The following is a 13,092-nucleotide window of genomic DNA, read 5'->3' on the forward strand; positions in this document are numbered from 1 at the left end:
TGAGGAAACTGAGGCCTGAAGAAGGCAAATGCAGGCCTCGAGATTTGCAGTAACATTGCCAGGACTGTTTGAGAAAGCAAACTTCTCCAGAGTGAGGCAGTCTGCCAGAGCTCAGAAGCCAGAGTCCCTGTTAGCAGGGGCTGGGGGGACTGTGGGGTGGGGGCAGACAAGCAGGTAGGGGCTGGACACCCCAGGACACCAGGGTGCAGACTGGTGTGAGTAAAAGAAAGAGAGGCGGTCGTGCCATCATCTGCAGAAGATGATGTCTACAGAGGACAGTACCATGTGAGCCCTTGGGGAGCCGGATGACTGGATGGAATTTTGCACAGGATGCAAATTAAGCACAGATCCCCCTCTGACCTAGACAGCCCACCTCCAGGAACATCTCACAGAAATGCACGCACAGAGCACCAAGTGATGTGTGCGAGGAAATTCATCAGAACACCGTCTGTGATTGGGAAAGGGCGGAAACCATCCAAAGACGTATCGGTGCAGGGCTGGTTAAACGAAGCGTGGTGCATCCACACGTCAGAATAACTGCTGGGAGAAGAAGGTGGTACCCAGGTTCCAACGTGAGACAATGTCAAAGACATGCTGCCTGAAAAGCAGGCTTTCCAAAGAATAAATATAGCATTATTCCATTTTTTTTTAAAGGTTACAATAAACACTTATGTGCAAATACATGTGCTTGCGTGCAGAGAGGGAAAAGGTGTGGACAGGAACAGAAAACCAAACTCTGCGTGGTCTCACTCATAAGTGGGAGTTGAACAATGAGAACACATGGACACAGGGAGGGGAATATCACACACCAGGGCCCATCGGGGGTGGGGGACAAGGGGAGGGAGAGTGTTAGGACAAATACCTAATGCATGCGGGGCTTAAAACCTAGATGACGGGTTGATAGGTGCAGTAAACCTCTATGGCACATGTATACCTATGTAACAAACCTGCACGTTCAGCACATGTATCTCAGAACATAGAATAAAAAATAAAAAGAAACCAAAGAAAAAGGTGTGGAGAGGTATACCCCAACCCTTCCCAGTGTTACCTCTGAGAAGCAAGATCAAGAAAATCAAATCAAGAGGAAGTTTTATGTTTTGTTTTCTCTATAAATTTTTTATTTTTTTTTATTTTTTTTATTTTTTTTGGAAACATAGTCTCGCTTTATTGCACAGGCTGGAGTCCAGGGACACATTCTCAGCTCACTGCAACCTCCTCCTCACTGCAACCTCCTCCTCAGTGCAACCTCCTCCTCACTGCAACCTGCTCCTTCTGGGTTCAAGTGATTCTCTTGGCTCAGCCTCCCAAATAACTAGGATTGCAGGCACGCACCACCAAGCCTGGCTAACTTTTGTATTTTTTGTAGAGACAGGGTTTCACTATTTTGGCCACCTGGTCTCGAAATCCTGGCCTGCCTACCTTGGCCTCCAAAAGTGCTGGGATTACAGGTGTGAGCCACCACACCTGGCCTGCATTGCTTGAATTCTCAGACCACATGGACCCTCTCATCTGGCCCAATTGCAAGAGTCCAAGGCAGGAAAGGCAGAAGGCAGGGGCTTACCCCTCCATCAGGACAACATAGAACAGAGTCAAAAAAGAAAAACATGAATGGATCAGTCAAGAGGGCTGTGCATGTGCCCTCCCAGGCACCTACACCTTGCAACTTAAGCCGACAGGCTTTCAAGCCACAGAGTCTTCCTCCCCAGAGACTAGCAAGGACACAAGCCCTGGCCAGGCCCCTCCAGGAGGATGGTCTGAGGGACAAGGTGGGGAGCAGAGTCAGGGGTGGCGGGAGGAAAGGGGGACACGAAGCCAAGGAAACCAGGGCAACCCATGCTTCCTGAAGGCCACCAGGACAGGGCGCTACACAGAGCCCCTGTGTACCTGTTTCTACAACAGCCTGAACACAAGGAAAAGGAAAACAAGGAAAATACACAAAGCCCCGCCTCACCTGGAGCAGGTTAAATAAAGGTGTGTGACTTTGTCTTCATGTCCTTTGGAATTGGAAATCCAAGCTTCCTCTCCTGTGCCTTTAAGGCCCTGGCTGCTGCCCCACAGCCCCCTCTCTTCCCTCCTCCTCCTGTCCTCTTTTTTTTTTTTTTTTTTTGAGATGGAATATGGCTCTGTTGCCCAGGCTGGAGTACAGTGGCACAATCTCAGCTCACTGCAACCACCACCTTCCGGGTTCAAGCAATTCTCGTGGCTCAGCTTCCCGAGTAGCTGGGATTATAAGTGTCACCACGTCTGGCTAATTATTGTATTTTTTGTAGAGACAGGTTTTCACCATGTTGGCCAGTCTGGTCTCAAACTCCTGGCCTCAGGTGATCCGCCCACCTCGGCCTCCCAAAGTGCTGGGATTACAGGTGTGAGCCACCATGCCCGGCCCTCTTGTTCTAACTGTGCCATCTCTTTGCAGTCTCCCCCGAGCAGCTTTTCCTGGGCCTGCCCTTCCACCCTCCAGATCTGCACTCTCAAACCACCCCCCAATGCCCCCTGGCCCTGGCTCCTGCCCCGGGGCTCTGATCCTCAGCTGGTGAGGTCTAGAGGGTCACAGGGAGCCAGACTCCCTAGAGAAGCTAAGGCAGGAGCCCCGTGCTTAGGCAGGAGCTAAGCTAAGGCGGGAGCCCTGTGGGTAACCTGCCCCCTTCCAGCTGGGGCTGAATAGAAGGGGGAAAAGCTGCCCCCCAGAATACAGGGCTCTCAGAGGCCCTGGGGATCTGTGCTGGCAGTCAGGAGGACTGTCACCTCAGCGCACTTGCCTGCAAGGAGGGCTGTGCAGGAAGCTGCATGTTGCTCAGAGAACAAAAAAAGGAAATTAAATGCACCATCTGGTTATTAGGATGAGCTTTTGAGGCAGACACTGAAATATGCATGCCTAGACATTATAAAACTTGGGGGAAATGTTAATTTCAATAACGCCAGTTCTTGTACTCGCCGAAACTATTCTTTTATCTCTCTTCCTAGTAATCTGGGGGCTCCATCCCTCAGAGTGGCAGCGCCAAGACAGCTGGCCTCACTGGGTTTTGTAAGCTGTGCAAGGTGAGATCCCAAGCCCTTGCCTGGAGACCCATCTTAGGAAAATGTTAGAACAGGGCAACAAGTTGCCATTTCCTCCCTCCTTTCTCTTCCCCATACAAAAATCAGAAAGCACGCTAGCCCAGACTTGTGTACATTTCAAGGGTGGCTGGACTCATGGCCGCCTGGGACGTCAGGGTGGTACAAAGTCCTCTTAACCTAAGACTGTCGGGGTACAAGGATCAGCAAATTTTTTTTCCTTTTTCTTGAGGGCCAGATGGTAAATAGCTCAGCTTTGCAGGCCATAGGTCTCTGTCCCAACTATTCAACTCTCCATTGTAGCAGGAAAGCAGCCACAAGACAATATGCACTGAAATGGGTGTGGCTGTGTTCCAATAAAACTTTATTTGTATGAACAGGCAGGGGGCTGGTTCTGGCCTGTGGGCTACAGCCTGCCTCCTCTGCTACAGCGTGATCTCCAAGGACCCATCCATCTCGTAGACCAGCAGCTGGCACACAGGAGCTGCTCAGATACTTGAAGGAGGAATGGAGAAGGCAAGCAGCCCCCAGTGCGCAGACGTGAGGGTCTCCCAGCAGCACCATCCTTTGCCATCTCATGCGGAGGGACAAAGCCAGAGCAGGTCTCTCCACCAAGGCTGGGTTCTCCTCCAAGGAAATGTGATAACAGGACAGAAAGCATCGTGGGAGGATAGGGGCTTTGGAGTCCCACAAACCACAGTTTGCAAGACCAGGAGCAACCTGCACTTCCCTGCACACACCCTGGGTGGGTGCTGGAGCATCTAGACTTAGAGTGAATCTTTTGTCCCTCCTCCCCCAACTGGCCTCCATTACACTTCCAGCAACAATGTGGTGTATGTACATGATGGAATACTATTCAGCCTTCAAAAAGAAGGAAATGCTGCCATTTGAGACAACATAGATGAGCCTGGAGGATATTATGTTAAGTGACATAAGCCAAGCACAGAACGACATATACCACATGATCTCACTTATATGTGGAATCTAAAAAAGTTAAACTCAGCCAGGCATGGTGGCTCATGCCTGTAATCCCAGCATTTTGGGAGGCTGAGGCTGGCAGATTGCTTGAGCCCAGGAGTTCGAGACCAGCCTGTATAACATAGCAAGACCCCAACTCTACAAAAAAATACAAAAATTAGTGGAGCGTGGTGGTGCATGCCTGTACTTCCAGATACTCAGGAGTCCGAGTTGGGAGGATTGATTGAGCTTGGGAGGTCAAGGCTGCGGTAAGCCAAGATCACAACCCTGCACTACAGCCTGGGCAATAGAATGAGATTGTCTCAAAAAAAAAGAAAGAAGAAGAAAAGAAAAAAGTTGAATTCACAGAAGCAGAGTAGAATGATGGTTGCCAGGGTGGGGAAGTGGGCAGATGCCAAAGGACACAGAATGTCATTTTTAGAGAAGAAGAATAAGTTCAGGATATCCATGGGACAACATGGTACCTATAGTTAATAACGACATATCATACACTTGGAAATCACTAAGAGAGCAGATTTTTAAATGTTCTCACCACAAAAAAATAAGTCTGGGAGGTGATATGTTATTTAGCTTGATTTAGCCATTTCATAATGTATACATACTTCAATCACATCATGTTGTATACCCTCTTGTACGTAATTTTTGTCAATTCAACAACTCCAAAAAACAAGACATTCTCTTTACAAAAATAATTATTAAAAATAAAATTCAGAATTCTATTTTATTTATTTATTTATTTTTGAAACAGAGTCTCGCTCTGTCACCCAGGCCGGCTGAAGTGCAGTGGTGCGATCTCGGCTGACTGCAACCTCTGTCTCCCAGGTTCAAACGATTCTCCTGCCTCAGTCTCCCAAGTAGCTGGGATTACAGGTGTGTGCAATCACACCTGGCTAATTTCTGTATTTTTGGTAGAGACAGTTTTGCCATGTTGGCCAGGCTGGTCTCGAACTCCTGACCTTAGGTGATCCACCAGCCTCGGCCTCCCAAAGTGCTGGGATTACAGGTGTGAGCCACTGCACCTGGACAGAATATAAAAGATTCTTTAATTCAACTAAAACATTAAAACATAGATTATTTCTATAAGTGGTAATTGTTCTAACATGTTTTGGTCAAAATAGTCTCCTTACCCATCCACAATTAAATGGTTAATTGACATTTGATTGGATATTGATAAAGTTTTCAAATCATGATTGACTTTTCCAATGTACAGTAAAATGTGCGTGAAAATATTTCATAAAAATTAATATTTAAAAATGGTCAGGCACGGTGGCTTATGCCTATAATCCCGCACTTTGGAGGCCAAGGTGGGCCGATCACTTGAGGTCAGGAGTTTGAGACCAGCCTGGCCAAACCTCATCTCTACTAAAAGTACAAAAATTAGTCAGGTATGGTGGCATGTACCTGCATTCCCAGCTACTTGGGAGGCTGAGGCAGGAGAATCCCTTGAACCTGGGAGGTGGGTTCCCCAGGCTTAGAGCAAAACCCCCATCTTGTCTGTCTCCACTCTCATCCCAGGCAATCACAGTCATTTCCACAGCCTCAACCACTGTCTACCTGGGATGCCTCCCAAGCCTGAGTCTCCAGCCCAAACCTGCCTTCCTAGCCCCAGACCCATCAGTCCTGGCACACATTGCCCCCTGGGTCCCAAGCAACCTCAGCCAGTGAGTCCAACGTCAACTTCCTGTCCTTGCCTGACACTGCCAGCCCTGAGATCAGACTTGACCATTCACCTCCAGTACCTGATAGGTCCATCAGTGCTTTGGAACATATCTCACAAACATTCCCCAAACCAGGCACCAGACTCCACACATCAACACCGTCATGTGAGTCACCAGCATCCCTGGCAGGGACCCCTGTCCCAGCCTCCAACTCATCTCCTTCCTGTCCCTTGAGTTCTGTGTCACATTCCAGAGGCCACAAGAAGAAAAATGACCACCTTAATGAAATTAAAAGAATTGAGAAGACATTTCCCTATGGTCCAAAGTCTTTCCAACTGAGAAACACATATCAAGATCCAGCCTGCCAGCCCTGCGGTTAAATGTTCCTGAAATAATTAAAGCCCAGGGTGACACAGCCCCCACTCCACAAGTACTCCCAGCACAATAAGACTTGCTTCTCTGCAGGGGCTTGAAATGTCCAGTGTGTACCTTGCCCCTCTCTGTCATAGCTAACAGGAATGTGCTCCGTGTCTTCTTCCTGCTCAAAGGACTGTCCACCAACCTGCGCAGGCAGCACTTTCGGCCGGGAGGGACGAGAGGACTTCCCACCATTTCCCACTTACGCACTGCATTCCTCAGGAGCCTGCCTCACAAATTACAAGAGCGCCACAGCAGACACACCACATTCCAGCGGGTGGCCATGTCTTCATGTCAGCTTGAAAGATCATCACCAGGGAAATATCTATATCTCAGCAGAGAGAGCTTCAGCCTGTGTAGTCCAGCTGTGCTCAAATGGAAATCCAGAAACCCAGATGTTGGTCCAAACACCCTGTCTTGGAGAGCCGGCTCTGCAGGTCCCCAGCGTGGGAGTGAACTGGGTGGGCCACCTGCCCTGCCTGCCCACATCCCTGCCTCCTGGAATCCTGGACCCTGAGAACCAGAGGGATGTGGTGGGGAACAGGCAAGTCTTGTGCAGAAAGCCAAGATGCCACCCAAATCCACTCTGCAGTCTAGGTGGGTGATATTCTGGTCTGCACCGTACCAGCGCATGAGGGGATGGAGGATGGAGTCTAGACAAGCCAAATGTAAAAAGATATTGCCCAAGTATTTTGTGCTTTGTCTGTGTTACAATGCTATGCCCAGCCCAGCGTGGTGGCTCACACCTGTGATCTCAGCACATTGGGAGGCCGAGGCAGGCGGATCACCTTAGGTCAGGAGTTTGAGACCAGCCTGGCCAATGTGGTGAAACCCCATCTCTACTAAAAATACAAAAATTAGCCAGGTGTGGTGGTGGGCACCTGTAATCCCACCTACTCGGGAGGCTGAGGCAGGAGAATCACTTGAGCCCAGGAGGTGGAGGTTGCAGTGAGCAGAGATCATGCCACTGCACTCCAGCCTGGGCAACAGAGTAAGACTCTGTCTTAAAAAAAATAAAATAAATAAATTCTATGCCCAGCATTTTCCATGTACTGTCTTATTATCTCAGTAAATCCCATATAACCTTCCTATGAAAGTGTATCTCATTTATCTCCATTTTATAGATGAGAAAACTGAGGCCCCTGGAGTAGTATTAATTTTCCAAGACCGCATTGCTCATAAAGGGTACAGCAGGGACCCAAGCTTGACACTCTCACCCTCAAACATTTCCACAAGTGTAGACCAATGGCTGTCAACTGGGGTGGTTTTGCTCAAGTACTACTCCCTTGCTCCATGATATTTGAAACCGTCTGGAGACATCTAGGGTAGCCATAGCTGGGAGGGTAGAATGGTACCTAGAGGATGGAGGCCACAGATGCTACTAACCATCCTACAATACACAGGACGGCCCCACGACCAGCACCACGAATGGTCTAACCCCAAGTGTTGTGACTGTGCCAAAGCTGAGAAACCCAGGTTTCTCCTCAGCAAGAAGGAAAATCCCTGCAACACGGATGCACCTCTACAGGAGCCCCAGGCTGACAATAACCTTCCTCATCTGGTTTCAACCCTGGATGCTTTCACCTGGTGCGTCCATCAGGGATTTCAGGGACTCCAATGAGTTATTACCCTTGAATGCTTGGTTCCGCCTGACAACCCTGAAATCTCTGCTGAGGTGCCTGGTCTTGAGGAAGGCTCAGCAAGTGGTTGAGGGTGATAACCAAATACCTAGGAGAGACTTTTCTCTCCCTCCAGGAAGAGCTGTTGGTCAGACACACCCTGGGATCATTCACAAGCGGTCAATAAAGGCTTGGGGAGGGCCAGGTTTTCTAGGCCTTCTCAATGGGGTGGGTGTTTATGGATACACAAGAAGCCTGAGAAACTTCTGATATTGGCAGGAAATCAATGCCCCCCACCCTCCACCCCCCCACCTCCCCACCATAAACACATGCCCTGCAGCAGGACTTGGCACTCAGGGGCTCCTGGGGTCCCGATTTACCTGCTAAAACATCCTCTAGCCACCACCGAATAAAGCAACCCCTTGCCACCCAACCGCGAGATCTCAGCCTGGGAGCCACTCCAAGGGACATCCAGTCACATTAAAACCTCAGCCATCCAGAGCACCAGGCCTGGTGATGAGAAAGAACATTTTATCCTTAAAAGCATCTGAATGCCCATGCTGCTTCTTGCAAAGTCCAAAATAATCTGCTATTAAAGAACGAGGATGGTTTTTACCAAGCTAATGGTCTACGCAGACAAAATCTCATAAAAGGGCACTCTGTTCTTCTTGATCCACTCAGACATGGCCTGTGAGTGAAGAAATGGACTCTCCTCCTCAAATAAATCACTGCTGATTCTCACACCAGCCTGACACTGCCTCATGGGTTCTTCAAAGAGAGTATTCCCATAGAAACTAAAAGGGAAGAGGAATGGGTCTGGCGGGCATTGTGGGCAGCAGTGGGCTTTGGGCCAAATTTTAAGTTTGAAAATCAAGATTCCCTCTTTTCAAGGGGCCACCAGACTGAGCAGATACAGACACCGTGAAAAGAGGGTGCCATGTTCAGATTCAGGAAACAAGGATGGTTTCTGTTCAGTTCCTCCATCATCCTTCAGGTCATGCGATTCCCATTTCCCTCCGTGGACCAAACAATTCAGTGGGGTTTCTGCCTTTTAAATATTTCATTATCAACATATCATCATTTTAGCCTCCAGAAAGCATTTTAACATGGAGATTCTGGCTTAAGACTCTTGTGGGTCTGTCTGTCTCTCTCTCTTTTCCTTGAAACGGTCTCACTTTGTCAACTAGGCTGGAGTGCAGTGGCATGATCACAGCTCACTGCAGCCGGACCTTCCAGACTCTAGCAATCCTCCCACCTCAGCCTCCCAAGTACTTGGGACTACAGGCACACACCACCATAACTGGCTTTTTTTTTTTTTGGTAGATATGAGGCTTCACCATGTTGCCCAGCTGGTCTTAAACTCCTGGGCTCAAGCAATCCTCCCCTTTCAGCCTCTCAAAGTGCTGGGATTATTGGCTTGAGCCACCACGCCCAGCCAAGAACCTTGTCTCTTGTGATGCACCCCAGAACAAAACATCACTGCAAAAACACACCAAGGCATGAGTTTTAGTCCTAAGTCCCATTTATCCACCATACACTATGTGCCAGGCACAACGCTAAGTGCTTCTATGGACGAGCTTCCCTTAATCTCAGCAGTAACAACCCCAGGCAACGAGGCCTGTTGACAGATCCATTTGCCACTGAAGACAGTAAGGCTCAGAGAGGGTAAGTGGCTTGTGCCATGTCAGCCAGCTAAGGAGGGGCAGAACCAGGATGCAAACCCCAGCCGCCTGGCTCCAGACTCAGGTTCCCAAGGTCCCACTACACTTGGTCACTCCACTGCATTCTGGTATCCTGGTCTTTGGCAGAGTCCACGTAAAAGAAGGAGGTAGAGGGAGTGAGAGGGACTTCATGCAATAAAGTTTCCCGGCGTTACACTGCCATCGTAATTGTGTCCCCGACCAGGACCTCTCCCTTCTCATCCTTTCCGTGATCGGCCCTGGAAAACCTTCCAGAGAACTGTCCTCCTTCTCCCAGGATCTCAGAGAAAATTCGCCTGAGTTCAGTGTCCAGGTGACCCAAGCTCTGAATGCGGTAACGTGCACGGGGAGATAAGGATGTCACCATGAGCAAGCCTCCCAGACGGCATCCAGGAGCAACCCCAAGACTGGGCAGGGGGGCTCTGATGCCGCCCACGGCGAGGAGGGCTGCCCGTGCTGCCTAAATGGGTTCCGAATGAAGGCCGCCCTCTCGCCCATGTGGGGCTCATTAACCACGAATCCAATTATTAAGACAAGCTCAGCTGAGCAAATGGTCAAACATAAAAACATGTGGAAAGAACAAAGAGGTCAACCCCATTATCCATCAAAAACCATCAAGGTGGCGGCCCTCACTGAGGGGTACAGCTCTCCAGTGGGCCCTCATCTGCCCTCCAAACCCATGTGCCTCCTCAGTGGAAGGCCAGCAAAGCCACACAGGAAGAGTTGGTGTAGGAAAGCAGAAAGTGAACTCCAGGAGGCCAGGCTGGCCACGGAGCCCCATCCCACACACACAGGCCCGGTAACTCAGGGGCTCACGTGTGCAGGACACCGGGAGCTCACAGGGACAGCGTCCCGGGGGATGCAAGGAACTTTCCCTCTCTGTCCCTCTCTGTAGGGATGGAAAGAGGAGAGCGATTTCTGGGATGTAAGCCATCTGCCTCCTCTCAACTCTCGCTGCCCAACCAGAAAGGGAAGAAAAACAGGAAGATGCGGGGCAGGTGAGGAGCTGGGTGAGCACCGCCAGCCCGCAGCCCAGCAGAGCAGGGCTTGGCCAAGCCTGGCGCCAGGGACTTCCCCCCTACCCCCGCCACAAGCCCCTCGCCAGGTGAGAGGCACTGACAGAGTCCCAGACAGATGCCCCAGACAGGACGCTCAGCGCAACCCCCGCCCCTTCCCCTGCTAGGGGCCCCCAGGACGCGGGGCTCCCCCTCCCCTTTTGGCTAGCCGCAGAGTCCAGCGGGTCTCTAGTCCAGGGACGTCGTGGGAGAATCAGGAAGTCGAAGCCACACAGCCGAGAAGGGGCAGCTGGCGTCTCGGAGGCCGTCGCGAGCTGTCACTCCGCGCCCGCCGGAGTTGTCGCTCAGTTACCAACTTCAACCCGGGGCCGGCCACGGAGCCTCCCGCCGCCCCTACCCCGCGTCCCCGGCACCCCCGGCACCCCCGGACCCCCGCGCCCGCGTCACTTACTCCTCTGCCGTCGCCACCTGTCTGGGTGCCGGTCTCCTTCCTGCCTGGCCGCGGTGCGTCCTCCCCGTCATCGGGCTGTGCGCTTCCCTCCTCCAGCAACAGCCGCAGCCTCTTCTCTTCGGGAGTGACGTCGTCCTCCTCTCTCCTGGGCCGGCCATCCCTGCCTCGGGGCTTGCCAGTGGCTTTGGAGCTGCCGGAAGGGCTGGCCATGGCTCCGGGGGCTCTGCCTGCACCTGGGGAAGAGGAAGGACCCGGCGCGAGCGGCCTGTCGGCGGAGCTGGGGCGTCTGAGCGCGGGCTCGGTGGGTCCGCGCGGCGCGGAGCTAGGCATCGGGGCGGGCGTGGGCTCCTCCGCGGGCCGCTCGTTGCTCTCTGGCGCCCTCTGCTGGCCGCTCGCGCCCACCGCGGACACGCCGGGCCCTGGCCTGCGCTGAGCTCGCCTGCCCTGGCCCAAGCAGTCGCTGTCCCCTGCCTGCGGCCATGCCCGCTCTGGCCAGGCCCTGCACCTCCTCCCCGCCCCAACCAGGTTGCACCCCGATGGTCTCCCTGCCCAAGGAGGAGAGAAGGGACGCCCCGAGAGGGTGGACATCAGCCACAGCCACCTTGTCTTTGCTCTTACCCTGTGTCTTGCATGATTTGGAGGTGGTGGGAAAACCGAGGCTGCTCAAAATTCGTGGAGAATTCCGCCTGCAGGATGACATGAATGCACCTTCGCGTTGCCTACCAACAGATCTTTTTTGAGCATCTCTGTGGACCAGGCGTGGTGATGGGGGAGGGGATATTGTGGTGAACATGACAGGCATGGCCTTCACACAGTAGGGCTCAGCCCTGGGTGAGAAGGCATTGAGAATGGACATTGTCAATTGGGCAAAAGGAGGCCAAGAAGAAGTGCTGGGGGCATGGGAACTGAAAAAGACAGGAGGCTCAGCATGTCTTGGCGCTGGGAGATTGACAGCAACAGCGGCTGTTCCAAAGGAAGCAACAGCTGAGAGACGTCTCAGAGAGTTGTTCTCAGCCCAGTGGAGGTTGTTCAGGCAGAGGGAACAGCGTGTGCAAAAGCCCAGAGGCTGGGAAAGAAGCAGAAAGAGGACTGTGGGGCTGGAGCGTGGTGGGCAAGAGGAGAAAGGTGTGGTGGGCAGACAGATTGCCTGGGACCCAGCCGTGCAGGGGCAGAGGAGATAGGGGATCCTTGCAGGCCCCTAGCCGGGGCTGAGGCACAGAGACAATGCAGGTGGGCAAAGGGAGGAGACGTGGAGAAATATTCTGGAGGCACGCCCTGATGAATGAGCCCAGGATGCACTCTTAGTGTCAGTGTGGAGCTCCTTCCTTGGCTGTGTGATGAGCTGAACTCGGGGGTATTTTCTGGACATTGAGGTGCTACACCAAGAGTCCAGGACAGGCTGAGCACCAGCAGCTCCTGGCCCACCTCAAAAGCAGGAGAGACAGGGGAGACTGGGGATGCTGGGGTGGAAGGGGAAGCCAGGAAGGCAGGAGAGGCCAGGGAAGCAGAGGAGGCCAGGGAGGCAGTGGAGGCAGGAGAGGCTGGGGAGGCTGTGTCCTTTCCATGATTCTGCCCAGGATCCTAGGCCCCTGAACTCCCTGAGCTTCTCCACCCCAAGCACTGGAACCATGTTGCACAATGGTCTCTCCACTAAGCTCCTGATGGCGGACCCTACCCTGCTGTGCTCCCTATTTCAACCCTAACAGCTCTCACAGTGGGCAGCACATAGTAGGTGCTCAGGAAACACTGGTGGGAGAGCACATGGGTCTGCTCAGCACCTTCCTCTCTCCTCCAGCTCTCCCCTGTCATGAAATAATTCTGATAACGACACATGGGCTTTGGACTCTCTTCTATTACTTTCAATATGCTAATCCATCTATACCTCACAGCAGCCCTGGGGGTGGGTGCTATTAGGATGCCCATTTTACAGAGGAGGAGACTGAGGTATAAAGAGGGTAAGTGACATAGGCACACTACAGGGGCCGGGGCCAAGTGATTGCAGCACTCAATCCCCAAAGGCAAGGTGGACGCAGTTACCATAAAAGACAGCAGAGTCAAAGCTGCAACCAGAACAGCCTGACTCACAGAGACCTATGGTGCCAGCTGATCGTGGCATTCCTAGAAGTGAAATAGGTAAGAAGCCTGCCACATTTTTACTTGATCTGTGTTTGCAGAAGAGTTCTAGGTCAGGTGAGTAGA

General features: G+C 52.0%; 1 protein-coding gene across 1 annotated transcript in view; it reads right to left on the reverse strand.

Annotated features, from left to right (window-relative positions):
- Positions 1-13,092, reverse strand: part of LOC112268076 (translation initiation factor IF-2-like) — a 154,152-nt gene that overhangs the window by 132,580 nt on the left and 8,480 nt on the right. The window contains exon 3 of the mRNA XM_047427952.1: positions 10,894-11,438. Within this exon, the coding sequence (XP_047283908.1) occupies positions 10,894-11,438 (545 nt within the window). The remainder of the gene's footprint in view (positions 1-10,893; positions 11,439-13,092) is intronic.

The sequence above is a fragment of the Homo sapiens genome, chromosome 11, assembly GCF_000001405.40.
Source record: "Homo sapiens chromosome 11, GRCh38.p14 Primary Assembly".
NCBI classification, from domain to species: Eukaryota; Metazoa; Chordata; class Mammalia; order Primates; family Hominidae; genus Homo; species Homo sapiens.